At 61.1% G+C, this 12,730-nt stretch overlaps 1 protein-coding gene across 15 annotated transcripts in view, besides 6 other annotated features; it reads left to right on the forward strand.

Moving 5' to 3' along the window:
• The window catches only part of TP73 (tumor protein p73), an 83,686-nt gene that overhangs the window by 64,053 nt on the left and 6,903 nt on the right, over nucleotides 1–12,730 (forward strand). For all 15 annotated transcript variants that reach the window (NM_005427.4, NM_001204184.2, NM_001204185.2 and 12 more), the window contains 5 exons: nucleotides 5,453–5,639; nucleotides 6,786–6,901; nucleotides 10,547–10,656; nucleotides 11,060–11,202; nucleotides 11,561–11,649. In NM_005427.4, coding sequence (NP_005418.1) covers nucleotides 5,453–5,639; nucleotides 6,786–6,901; nucleotides 10,547–10,656; nucleotides 11,060–11,202; nucleotides 11,561–11,649 — 645 coding nt within the window. The remainder of the gene's footprint in view (nucleotides 1–5,452; nucleotides 5,640–6,785; nucleotides 6,902–10,546; nucleotides 10,657–11,059; nucleotides 11,203–11,560; nucleotides 11,650–12,730) is intronic.
• Nucleotides 1,293–1,852: an enhancer, noted in NCBI's record as "H3K27ac-H3K4me1 hESC enhancer chr1:3634425-3634984 (GRCh37/hg19 assembly coordinates)". NCBI's record gives its function as "activates a minimal SCP1, AML or CMV promoter by ChIP-STARR-seq in naive H9 embryonic stem cells {active_cell/tissue: H9 hESC(naive)}" and the evidence as "EXISTENCE:reporter gene assay evidence [ECO:0000049][PMID:30033119]".
• Nucleotides 1,853–2,412: an enhancer, noted in NCBI's record as "H3K27ac-H3K4me1 hESC enhancer chr1:3634985-3635544 (GRCh37/hg19 assembly coordinates)". NCBI's record gives its function as "activates a minimal SCP1, AML or CMV promoter by ChIP-STARR-seq in naive H9 embryonic stem cells {active_cell/tissue: H9 hESC(naive)}" and the evidence as "EXISTENCE:reporter gene assay evidence [ECO:0000049][PMID:30033119]".
• Nucleotides 3,533–4,091: an enhancer, noted in NCBI's record as "H3K4me1 hESC enhancer chr1:3636665-3637223 (GRCh37/hg19 assembly coordinates)". NCBI's record gives its function as "activates a minimal SCP1, AML or CMV promoter by ChIP-STARR-seq in naive H9 embryonic stem cells {active_cell/tissue: H9 hESC(naive)}" and the evidence as "EXISTENCE:reporter gene assay evidence [ECO:0000049][PMID:30033119]".
• Nucleotides 4,092–4,651: an enhancer, noted in NCBI's record as "H3K4me1 hESC enhancer chr1:3637224-3637783 (GRCh37/hg19 assembly coordinates)". NCBI's record gives its function as "activates a minimal SCP1, AML or CMV promoter by ChIP-STARR-seq in naive H9 embryonic stem cells {active_cell/tissue: H9 hESC(naive)}" and the evidence as "EXISTENCE:reporter gene assay evidence [ECO:0000049][PMID:30033119]".
• Nucleotides 4,652–5,210: an enhancer, noted in NCBI's record as "H3K4me1 hESC enhancer chr1:3637784-3638342 (GRCh37/hg19 assembly coordinates)". NCBI's record gives its function as "activates a minimal SCP1, AML or CMV promoter by ChIP-STARR-seq in primed H9 embryonic stem cells {active_cell/tissue: H9 hESC(primed)}" and the evidence as "EXISTENCE:reporter gene assay evidence [ECO:0000049][PMID:30033119]".
• Nucleotides 11,053–11,152: an enhancer, noted in NCBI's record as "active region_65". NCBI's record gives its function as "activates an Ori minimal core promoter by ATAC-STARR-seq in GM12878 lymphoblastoid cells {active_cell/tissue: GM12878}" and the evidence as "EXISTENCE:reporter gene assay evidence [ECO:0000049][PMID:35858748]".

Raw genomic sequence — 12,730 nt, forward strand, 5'->3', positions numbered from 1 at the left:
CAGGCCTCCCTGACATCTGTCAGAGCCCAGCCTGTGCTCCCAGCAGCTCTCTGAGGGCGACAGTGACTGTGCACCAGTGAAGGCCACAGCCTCCCACGAAGGGGGCTGTCACCAAGGGGGCCCTGTGGCTGCCACCTGAGGATACCCTTCCTCTCTCAGAAGGAGAAAGGGACCCAGGAGGACCCTAATCCACAGGCTGTTGACCCTGGCTCAGGCATGTGTTTTAGGGGGTCCATCTGTGAACCCACGAATTTAATGGAAAGGGTTCTGTGGCTCAGCCCCAGGAGCTTTTCTAGGGAGAGGAAGGGTCCAGGGCCTTGGCAGAGGGTGGGCTCAAAGAGGCCCGTAACCCCAGAGAGGAGAGAGATGCACCCCTAAACACACAGACGCACACACAAGCAAGGGAACTGGATAAAAGTGAGCAATAAAAAAAATCGTTTAAAAAATAAAAGCCCCCACTGCAGGCCCCATCTTCCAGAATCTGTTGCAACAGATTCACCCACGCTGGTTAACGGTATTTGCGGTTTGCAAGATGCTACACGTCCCAGGAAAATGACAGACAAGTTATTATCACCTCTCCGCTGTCCTCCTGCCCAAACCTGCCCGTGCCGGGCACCCAGCTGCCGGGGAGCGAGGAGCGGGCACAAGGAAATTAGCAGCCCCCCGCTGCACCCTCCCCTCACCCACCCCCGCACCAGCCCTGCCAGGCCCAGGGCTCCCAGCCAGGCCGGGCCCATGTTGTACTGGGGCGGGGGAGGAGGGGAAGGAGAGGAGGGTCGGAGAGGAGCCGGCAGCGTGGGGAGGGATGGGCACAGTGGCGTTTGGGCAAACCCTTTCCTGCAAGCAGGACGGTGCACGCACCCTGGGCAGGCAAGTCCAGGCGGCTCCGTGTCAACAGCCGAAGATAAATACGATTTTATCAGCTCGGAATCTGTTGAAACACATCCATCTAGCGGTTCTAGGGAAGGAGAAGGCAGGAGGGGGGCGGCGGAGGGGAAGTGTCTCCACGTGACCTTTCCTATAGAATAGGCTCCACCGGAGTCCTCCTCCTCCTGCCCGTTTTCCACAGGGCCAAGCCCAGGCCTGAAGCCTAGAGGCCTGCTGGGGAGACAGGAGGAAGGAGCTGGGGGAGCGCTGGAGCCGTCCTGGGCTCAGCCACCCTCTAGAAGGACCTGGATCTCTCAGGGCTCCCTTCCCTCCTGTGGCCACCTGTGTCACCCACCCCCAGATGCTGCCAGGGCAGGGGACATCACAGACATCCTCCCCGAGGCCACCCAGCTCCGGCCCGGCTGGGCACCTGGGGTCCAGTTAGTGCCAGGGTGAGGTCTGCCAGGCATGTATGCCCCAAAGGCCATGTGAGCACTGCACTGGGGACACCTGTGGGGAGGAGAGCCAGGCCCAGGACCTTGGTGGCCTTACTGGCCAGAGGGGAGGAGAAGTGCTCACATCGCCTGAGGACAGGGGCCTCCTTGCTCTCCACCCTGAGGCCTGGGCCTCCCTCCGCCACTGGCCCAGGTCGAAGACCTGTCCGTTCTAGGCCGCTCCACACTCCAGTCCGAGCCCCCACTTCCCGGGGTGGGTGGTCCGGCCGCCGCCTGCACCGAGTACCAGGGACAGCTCCCGGCGCGCCCAAGCTCCTCCCCGGGGCGGGGCGGGGCGGGGCATCCACAGTGCTCCCCGCGCCTGGGCCCCCAGGACCTCTTGCAGACGGGAGTCCCTCAGACAGTGCAGAGACGGGAGCACGCACTGGGCCCTGCACCCACTTCGTAGCGCCCTGGCCTGGGACGCCCCACCACGCAGCTTCCAGAGCAAGGATCGCCACTTCACCCTGCCCGGAGACCCAGAGGGAGTGGGGCGGGCTCAGCAGGGCGCTGCTGAGAGGCCGCTGCCTAGGTCTGCGAAATGGGAGCACTGCTGACCCTGAGGCCCAGGCGGGCGGGAGCTCAGGCTCCGCAGAGGACTATGGCCGGGGGTGCTGGGGCAGGGGCCTAGGGGAGGGGCTGCAGGGGCCAGGCAGGAGCTGTGAAACCCCTCACGCTGTTGAGACTCCATGGGGCTGTCAGGGAGCGACGGCTGCCGGGGCCTCTGCCCGCAGGCTTGGTTGCACCCAGAGCCTTACTCCATCTGTGTCCAACTGGCTGAGGAGCCCAGGCGGCCTCCCCTCCCCCTGAGTGTCTGGGGCTCCTTGGTGGATCTAATGACCCCCATCTCAGGCCATGGGCTGTGGCACTAGGGTGGAAGAAGCCTCGGGGGACTCAGCCCCGGAAAGGGAACTGTAGGGAAGCGGGGCCTGTGTGGCTCCAGCCCCCCGCAACCAACACCTCCTCACCTGGTGCTGAGAATAACGAGGGCGCAGTAGCCACTAACACCTGCAGGCCACTGTGTTCCCAGGGGACACGCAGTGAGTCAGAGATGCAGGTGGAGAGGCTTGTGCAGTGGCTAGAGGCATCCCAGCTGACGAGCACAAAGCCAAAACTGCCACCCACAGGGCCGGACCTCAGAGGCCCTTCTCCTTTTGCCGCCCCTGAGACTCTGACCTGAGCCACCCCGGCCGGGGTCTGTTTCAAGGGGGGTCTGCCGCGCCCTCCCTGCTCTGTGGTTTCCCTAGGGAGCGGCTAGGATGGATGGCATTTGTTGAGTACCACCTGTGTACCTCCATCTGCTACACGTTACTGAGGAGAGACGAGGGGGACAGAGCCAGGTGCCTGAATTCCAGGGGGCCTGTGTGCTCTGCACACAAGAGGTGCTCCATAAATGCTCAGCAATGGGCAGCTCGCCCTGCAGGCTGCCCTGGCCTCGGAGAAGCCTGGCGACACGGCTGCCGGCCCTGTGTTCCTCTCCCCTGCTCGGGGCACTGGCAGACAAGAGCCTGCCACCACCTGGCCCCTCCTCCTTCTGTCCCCAACCAGCACAGATGGAGACCAGGCGTGGTGTGTAGCTTCAGGCAGGGCCTTTGTCCAAGAGACCAGTGCCTGGACACAGGCCACTGCAAGTTTGGGCCAAGAGCCCTCCCTGTCTGAGTCTCCTGAGGGTCCGAGTCCCAGAGGGTCTGTGCTGCGAGCTGTTCCCATGTGCCCTGGGGGCAGGGCTACCTGCTTATCCTTCCAAGTGATGCTGTGGGGAGCAAAGGGGGCATTTGTAATGGTGGGGACACTGTACATCAGTGGTCACCTCCAGGGAAGCCAGACTGACCCCACAACAAGGAGACTGCTGTACTTCCCGCTGTGCCCAAGCCTGCAGCTCCGACAGTCCAGGGCAGGCGCCCGCACAGGGGTGGGCTGCTAGCTCTGCAAGGCTGTTTCTGCTTTTCTTTTTTTCTCTTTGTGTGTGTGTGTGTGTGTGTGTGTGTGTGTGTGTGTGTGTGTGTGACGGATTCTCACTTTGTCACCCAGGCTGGAGTGCAATGGTGCGATCTCGGCTCACTGCAACCTCCACCTCCCGAGTTCAAGCGATTCTCCTGCCTCCTGCCTCAGCTTCCTGAGTAGCTGGGACTACAGGCGCCCGCCACCTTGCCTGGCTAATATTTGTATTTTTGGTAGAGACAGGGTTTCACCATATTGGCCAGGCTGGTCGAACTCCTGACCTCAGCTGCCTGCCTTGGCCTCCCAAAGTGCTGGGATTACAGGCGTGAGCCACCGCCCTCAGCCCGTTTCCTGCTTTTCTAAACAGCGCCCAGCCTCCCCTGCAGGGCTGTGCATGATGGTTCCTTCCTGTGTTTTAAACAGGACTGGGGATGGGCGGCTTCCTGCCTAAGGCCCTGTGCCCAAGGTGGGGGTCGCAGGCAGGGGCAGTGGAGCCACTCTGGCTCCAGGGGCTCCAGGTGGACGGAGGACCTAGGAGGGGCCAGCTCTTTGGTATCCAATTCCCATCCTGAGGAGGCCACTGAAGGACCCCCTTCCACTTGTCCCTCCAGCCCCCTCACACCCATGGCAGGGACAGACCAGCGTTCCTGGCTGGGTCTCATTCGGGGAGCCCAAGTAGCTCACCAGAGAGGGGACCGCTCCCACTGCACAGGAACAAGGGCACTCAGGGTGCCGGGGACCCAGGCCCCACCCACCATGGCTCGCAGCCTCCGTCAGCTCCATCTCCCCTGTCTCTTTCCTTTTTCCTTCCTGGCTTTTCGTGTGCCTGCACCTGCCAAGGACCTATGTGGCTCCTGAGAGCCCCTCATGTCCCTTGATGGCCAGAGAGGCAGTACTGGTGGCCAGTGGGGGTCAGGGGGTCAGGGCCCCCTAACTTCCTTGGCAAAGGGAAGACTCCACCTGCAGCTTCCCTGGTTCTGCCAGTAGCTCCCTGTCTCTGACCTCAGTTTCCCCAACTGTTCCACGGTGGAGTGCGATGGGACATTCTCCAGGGCACTTGCGGCTGCAGTGACTTGTGATTCTGAGTCATCGGGGGCTGGTGAGGGGCACAGAGGGCATGGGGTGGCAGCAGAAGTCATTCTCTGAGCCTGAGACTGGGGATCATTCCTGATGGCCCTTTGGGGAGAGAGCATGAGGACTCCCAGCAGGTGACCAGGAGCCAGACGCTTGGGAAATCAGCCAGCTTGGAAGTGAGTGGACGCCCCTGCAGCGGCCTCAGCGGGGTCACTTTTAGAACTCATGAGAGCCGGCCTGGGTCCTCAGATGGGCAGCCGGGCCCTGTGAGGCAAAGAAGCTGGAGGCCTCTGCAGGGGCTGGCTCAGGAAGGGTGTCATCCAGTCCTCCTGCAGCAGGGCCCACGCCAGCTCCAGACAGACCTATTAGCTCCTCGAGTCCCAAGCTGGGGATACTGGGGCTGTGAGCCCAGAGGGGCCCCCAGAGTGGCCAAGACCAAGCCACACAGCTCGGCTGCTCAGACTTGGTGGCCCCAGCAGGAGAGGGTGTCAGAGTCACCAGGGCTGCTGAGGCCATGAGAGGCCTTCACACCAACCCAGAGAGCTCTCTATGGAAGCTTGAATGCATAGTGGGCAACCAGCCCATCACACATTAACCACTTGCTCTGTGCAAATGCCAGAGAAGCCTAGCTCTGGTCTTAAAAACAGATTCAATGCTGCAAACCCACCTCTTCAAAATGCCGCAGTCAGGGACATGGCTTCCACAGGCCTGGCTCCCAGCCCCCGTTCCCGCCCTCACTCTCCAGCAGCCCCTTCTTGCTCTCCTGGCCTTTCTTGTCCCCATCCATAAACCTAAAGCCTCTCTGCCTGACTGCCACCGGCACTCACACCCCTGCTGTCATGGAGCCCAAATGACCCGATGGCTGTGGAGTGGGTGCCAGGGCAGCTGTGCCTGGATTCACGCCTCAAAGGACAGACACCTGGAGGGATTCAGCAGAGGGGCTGCTTGGGGCAGTCTTCATCTGGGGGTTGTGGAAGGGGCACCCATGGGGAGGACGTGGCTCCCAATGGGGGGTGGCCTGGACAGGGGTGCAGTTGGGACCACTGGTCTCACCCGCTCCCTCTCCCCCACTCCAGTACTCCCCGCTCTTGAAGAAACTCTACTGCCAGATCGCCAAGACATGCCCCATCCAGATCAAGGTGTCCACCCCGCCACCCCCAGGCACCGCCATCCGGGCCATGCCTGTTTACAAGAAAGCGGAGCACGTGACCGACGTCGTGAAACGCTGCCCCAACCACGAGCTCGGGAGGGACTTCAACGAAGGTGAGGGCCCCCAGCTCCTCTGCCCACGGTGGCACTTTGCCCAGCATCCCGGACAGCACAGCCGGGGGCTGCCTAACTGGGAGAGAGTGGGGCTGACAGCATGGGCTTAGCCATTCCCCTGCGGAGGGCTTTCAGTGCCTCCACCAGCCCCCATTTTCCCAGTTCTGAGTGGGACCTGGGGGGGCCCATGCTCCTGGGCAGGGGCAAGTGGTCTGGGCAGAGTCTGAGGGGCAGCGGCCTTCTGGGGCCCCAGAGATCCTATGAGTCATAGCCCCTCTCTCCAGTGTGCCTGGCAGGGCCTACGGGCTACCCCAAGGATTAGCAGGAGAATCAGGGGGCAGAGCCACTGGGCAGGCACCCCCAGAGCACAAGGGCTGCCAGCTGGCCTGAGCCTCACCTGGAAGCCCACAGGACTGGGCCTGGTGGTCTCAGTTCTGCTGCGATGCACCTGGCACAGCTGGGCGCCTCTCTGCACCTGGCACAGGGGTGGGCACCTCTCTGCACCTGGCACAGGGCTGGGCACCTCTCTTCACCTGGCATGGGGCTGGGCACCTTTCTTCACCTGGCATGGGACTGGGCACCTCTCTGCATGTGACACAGAGGTGGGCACCTGGCATGGGGCCGGGCACCTCTCTGCACCTGGCATGGGGCTGGGCACCTCTTTGCACCTGGCACAGGGTGGGCACCTCTGCACCTAGCACAGGAGTGGGCACCTCTCTGCACCTGGCATGGGGCTGGACACCTCTCTGTGCCTGGCACAGGGCTGGGCACCTCTGCATCTGGCATGGGGCTGGGCATCTCTGCACCTGACACCGGGGTGGGCACCTCTCTGCACCTGGCATGCAGCTGGGCACCTCTCTGCACCTGGCACTGGGCTGGGCACCTCTGCACCTAACAGGGGTGGGCACCTTTGCAGGTGGCACAGAGCTGGGCACCTCTCTGTGCCTGGCACGGGGCCAGCACCTCTCTGCACCTGACATGGGGCTGGGCACTTCTTTGAACCTGGCACGGGGCTGGGTACCTCTCTGCACCTGACATGGGGCTGGGCACCCTTTGAACCCGGCACAGGGCTGGGCACCTCTCTGCACCTAGCACAGGGGTGGGCACCTCTATGCACCTCTCTGAAGTGTCGACCCCTCCCGGCAGGACAGTCTGCTCCAGCCAGCCACCTCATCCGCGTGGAAGGCAATAATCTCTCGCAGTATGTGGATGACCCTGTCACCGGCAGGCAGAGCGTCGTGGTGCCCTATGAGCCACCACAGGTAGGCCAGGAGCCAGGCTGTGCCCAGGGCCCTGCAGTCAGCTGTACGGGTCGGGGGAGGGGTCCCCTGAGGCAGCCCCTGTCCCTCCTCAGTTGGCTGATCTGCCTGCCTGTCCTGTCGGCATCTGTCCAGGGCTCCCTGCTCTGTGATAAGTCTGTGTCGGCGGCTCCTTCCTCACCCACACCCGCCCCACTGTGCACACTGCTGCTCTGTCCCCACATCCGCCTCGGGCACTCTCGGGGCCTCAGTGTGCCCAGCTCCATAGTGGGGAGTGGGTCTTCAGCCTTGCCCTCTGTTGGTGCCCAACACTGGTTCCGGCCTGGGGCTCCCAGACACAGGGATTTGGGAGATGGGGAGGTCCCCGCCCATTTAGACCCTGGATTGGCTGGGGCAGAACCAAACCAGCAACAGCGCCTGAAGGGGTGGCAAATTCTACAAAGGGGGTTGAGGGATGGTGGAAAGACTCCTAGGCCAGGCCAGGGGCCCAGGAGAGGTGGCCTGCAGGAGGCTGAGGCTGGTCAGCAGGGTGGAGAGCCGGGAGGCCCCGCTGGGCACCACGTGGGTGGGGGGTGCAGGGGACTGGGGGGCATATAGGCTGGAGGGGAGGGGACACGGAGAGGCTGGGGGCTTTGACTTTTGGCCCAAAGGCAGCATAAGTTTCTGGGACACAATTCTGGAGCTGATGTGGGGCCCAACTGGTGTGAAAGGCTGGGGTAGGGGGAAACAGAGGGTTTGAAGTTACTGCGGGATGGTGGGGCAGGGGCAGAACAGGAGGTGAGGAGTGGGTACCAGGCCCCCAGGGGAAGGCAGGCAATGGCAGGCCTCTGCCTTCCCTGTACCTGGTTCTGAGACCAGGCTCCATGCTGTACCCAGCCCCAGCCTCCCCCACCAGGTCCCCATCCCTGTACCAGACCCCCAGGACACCCCAGACTCCTGTACCCAGTCTCCAGGTCCTCCACAAGCCTCTACCCTGTACCCAGGCCCCCTTCGACGTCCCCATCCCACCATCCTCTAAGAGCAGCCCCTTATGTCAGCAGAACCAGGGCCCGGGAGGGCTCCCTGAAACCCATGTCCCACCCTCACCTGCCTAGGCCTGCCAGGAAGGCAGAGCTCTATCGCCCCCTGGTGGCTGCCGTGTGACAGCAGTTCTGAGAAAGGCCAAGATTTTCCCAAACCCCTAATAGCTTTTGTATTTGTCCCCAGGGTGACATGAAAACTGCCCACATTGTGGTCTGGGGACACTCATTGATCAACGGTTTTGGTTCATGGCTGGGCGCAGTGGCTCACGCCTGTAATCCAAGCACTTTGGGAGGCCAAGGCGGGTGGATCACTTGAGGTTAGGAGTTCAAGACCAGCCTGGCCCACAGGGCGAAACCCTGTCTGTACTAAAAACACAAAAGTTAGCCGAGCCTCGTGGCGCATGCCTGTAATTCCAGCTACTTGGGAGGCTGAGGCAAGAGAATCGCTTGAACCCGGGAGGCAGAAGTTGCAGTGAGCCAAGATCGCGCCATTGCACTCCAGCCTGGGGGACAGAGAGAGACTCCGTCTCAAAAAAAAAAAAAAGAGTTTTGGTTCATGTCTCAGCTGTACTGCAAAATCCCTGGGAAACAGGAGTGTGCTGGGGGTGGGTTCGCTGGGGACAGCTCTGGTTCCTCTTTCTGCCCAGGTGAGCCCGCAGCATGCAACACACACGTAGGGCCACAAAATCTGTGCAGGCACACTCACACCCAGCATCTGGGCTTGACCTCCAGCCTGTGTCAGGGGAGAAGGTTGGGGCAAACAGACCACAGGACTCTGTGCTTCTCTGAGAGCAGAGACCAGGTCTGAGCCCTCCCAGAACCCAGAACCAGCCCAGTGCTTGGGGTTCAGTGATCTTCATGAATGGGTGGCTGGATGGGGTGAGTGGGTGGATGGGTGGATGGATGGGGGTGGGTGGGGTGGATGAATGGATGGATGGGTAGGTAGGTGGGTGGATGGATGGATGGATAAATGGGGTGGGTGGGTGAGTGGATGAATGGATGGAGTGGTGAATGGGTGAATGGATGGGTGGGTGGACGGATGGATGAATAGGGTGGGCGGATGGATGGGGTGGGTGGGTGAATGGATGGATGGGTGGGTGGGTGAATGGATGGTTGGGTAGAGGGATGTTGAATGGATGGGTGGGTAGAGGGATGGGTAGATGGGGTGGGTGGATGGATGGATGGATAGACTGATATTGTTGAATGGATGAGTGGGTGGATGGATGTTTAGATGGATGGATAGATAATAAATGGGGGAGTGGATGGATGGATGGGGTGGGGGGGTGGATGGATGGATGGATAGGATGATGGATGGATGGATGGGGTGGGTGTGGGGGGTGGATATGTGGGTGGGTGAGTGGATGGATGGAGTGGGTGGGTGGGTGGATGGATGGATGGATTGACTGATATTGAATGGATGGGTGGGTGAATGGATGGTTGGATGGATGGACAGATAATGGGGGGAGTGGATGGATGGATGGGGTGGATGGGTGGATGGATGGATGGGATGGGTGGATGGATGGGGTGGGTGTGGGGGTGGATGTGTGGGTGGATGGATGGAGTGGGTGGGTGGGTGGGTGGATGGATGGATTTATTGATATTGAATGGGTGGGTGGGTGGATGGATGGATGGATTTATTGATATTGAATGGATGGGTGGGTGGATGGATGGTTGGATGGATGGATAGATAATAAATGGGGGGAGTGGATGGATGGATGAATGGGGTGGGTGGGTGGATGGATGGATGGATAGGATGGATGGATGAGGTGGGTGTGGGGGGTGGATGTGTGGGTGGGTGGGTGGATGGATGGATGGATGGAGTGGGTGGATGGGTGGATGGATGAATGGATGGGTTGATATTGAATGGATGGGTGGGTGGATAGATGGGTAGATAATAAATGGGGGAGTGGATGGATGGATGGATGGATGGGGTGGGTGTTGGGGGTGGACGTGTGGGTGGGTGGATGGGTGGATGGATGGATTGATATTGAATGGATGGGTGGGTGGATGGATGGGGTTGGTGGATGAATGGATGGATGGATATTGAATGGATGGGTAGGTGGATGGATGGGTAGATAATAAGTGGGGGAGTGGATGGATGGATGGATGGGGTGGATGGATGCATGGATAGACGGGTGGGTGGATGGATGGGGTGGATGGATGGATGGATTGATTGATATTGAATGGATGGGTGGGTGGATGGATGGTTGGATGGGGTGGGTGGATGGATGGGGTTCGTGGATGGATGGGGTTGGTGGATGGATGCATGGATGGATATTGAATGGATGGGTAGGTGGATGGATGGGTAGATAATAAATGGGGGAGTGGATGGATGGATGGATAGATGGGTGGGTGGATGGATGGGGTTGGTGGATGGATGGATGGATGGATGGATGAATAGATAAATGGGTTCGATGGATGGATGGATGGACGGATGGATGGATGGATGGGGTGGGTTGGTGGATGGATGAATGAGTGGACAGATATACAAATGGCAACAACTATAGAGCAGGGCATCCCCCTGCCTACGTGGAGCCAGGACCAGACATGGAGCTGGGGGCTGCCACCTTAGTGGATTGGGGCTGCGTGCTGATGCTAGCCCCTCTCCCTGCTCCCCCATGTGCAGGTGGGGACGGAATTCACCACCATCCTGTACAACTTCATGTGTAACAGCAGCTGTGTAGGGGGCATGAACCGGCGGCCCATCCTCATCATCATCACCCTGGAGATGCGGGAGTGAGTCCCGGGCACACGGGGTGGAGGTGGGACAGGGCTGGGCAGGCACGGCCGGGGGAGAAGGGGAGCTGTCATGGAGACCTGCAGGCCAAGGCTAGCTTGGGGAAGAGACTTTGGGGTGTGCTGCTGGAGGAAGGAACCGCCCCCTGGCCTGCAGGGCCTGCCTGGGCACAAGCTGGGCCTCCGGAGGGAGGTGGGAGTCCCCGGCGAGGTCTCAGGGCAGCCTCACAGCTTTGAGCCTCTGACTCCCTCTAGCGGGAACACTCGCTGCCGGCACTGGGTGCTCTGTGGTGACCGAGGGCTCTCAAGGCCGGTCCTGCAGGGTCCGAGGTGGGTGGGGAAGGTGGGCAGGTTGAGGGTGGGCAGGGTTGAGCTCACAATTCTGGCTGTGCCCACCCGACAGTGGGCAGGTGCTGGGCCGCCGGTCCTTTGAGGGCCGCATCTGCGCCTGTCCTGGCCGCGACCGAAAAGCTGATGAGGACCACTACCGGGAGCAGCAGGCCCTGAACGAGAGCTCCGCCAAGAACGGGGCCGCCAGCAAGCGTGGTGAGCGGCCGGCCAGGGGAACTGGACGCGTGTGGGAGGAGAAGGGGACACATTGGCAGGACACAATGTGAGCCCGCGTCCCAGGGACAGGGCCAGTCCCTGAACGGCCCCCCACGCCCAGACTCCTCCCTGACGGAGCCTGAGAGCAGCCCCCATATAAGTCGCTTGTCCTGGGCCAAGGGCACCTCAGAGGCCTGGGTGGCACCGCAGGTTTGCCCGTCCCTGTGGGTTGCTCACCACCGGACCCACCTGGAGAATCGATTGGCCCCAAGGGTGGGGCAGGTCTCCCTCCTCCCGGAAGGAGGCCTCACCCTCTGGTCCTGCCTGCTCACCCCGCCTGCCCTGCCTGGCCTTCCAGCCTTCAAGCAGAGCCCCCCTGCCGTCCCCGCCCTTGGTGCCGGTGTGAAGAAGCGGCGGCATGGAGACGAGGACACGTACTACCTTCAGGTGAGTGTGTGCTCCTGCACGGCAGCCGGGAGACCTGCCTCACCTCTGTCGTCTGCTGAGCCCAGGCTGGGCCATGGGGAGGGACTCTGGAGACCATGGTGGAGGGGGCGGGAGGAGCCCAGCCCTGTGTGAGAGGGTCCAGAGGGCAGAACCTGCTTGCAAGAGCCAGACCAGCAGGACCCAACTGCAGGGCATTCCTGAGAGTCCCCTCAGTCCCAAAAACCCAGCGTCATGCCATTTACAATGAAGCCATGTGTACATAGCACAGGTAGGGTGGTGCGGAGTGCCACCAGGGTAGAAGTTCAGCAAGAATCCAGGACCCTAACGTTGGCCAGGACCCGTGGCCACGGCCAGCCCCCATGAGTGTGCCTCTCACATGTGGCCTCCAACAGGTGAATTAAATCGGCACAGGCTTGGCTGGGAGTCATCTTCCATGATGTGAACTTTCTGTTTTTTGAGCTCCAGAATGAGCCCCAGTTGGGGTCAGTGGCTCATGCCTGTAATCCCGGCATTTTGGGAGGCTGAGGCGGGTGGATCACTTGAGCCCAGGAGTTTGAGACCAAAGTGGGCAACATGGTGAGAACCCATCTCTACAAAAATTAGCTGGGCGTGGTGGTGGCGTGCAGCTGCAGTCCCAGCTACTCAGAAGACTGAGGCAGGAGGATCACCTGAGGGCAGGAGGATCGCCTGAGCCCAGGAGTCCAAGGCTGCAGCGAGCTATGATGATGCCACTGCACTCTAGCCTAGGCGACAGAGCAAGACGCTGTCGAAAGAAAGAGAGAGAGAGAGACAGAGAGACAGAGAGAGACAGACTTGGTTTCTAAAAACCCAGTATCTGTTGGTAGGGGAGGAAGAGGGAGGCTTGGGGGCCACAAGGAGCAGGCATGGTTCTTGGGGACAGGATACCTGCCCACTGAGTCAGGGGCTCTGGTTAGACCTGCTTCTTGGGAAGAGGAAAGAAGATCAGGGGATCCTGAGCCTCTGGGGTGCTGGGGAACCCCCAGAAAGGACAGATGCTTTGCCAAGCCCAGGTCCTCCTGAGGCTGCGGCCACCCCCCTCCCGTGGGGGTCTGGGGCACGT

The sequence above is a fragment of the Homo sapiens genome, chromosome 1, assembly GCF_000001405.40.
Source record: "Homo sapiens chromosome 1, GRCh38.p14 Primary Assembly".
Classification (NCBI taxonomy): Eukaryota; Metazoa; Chordata; class Mammalia; order Primates; family Hominidae; genus Homo; species Homo sapiens.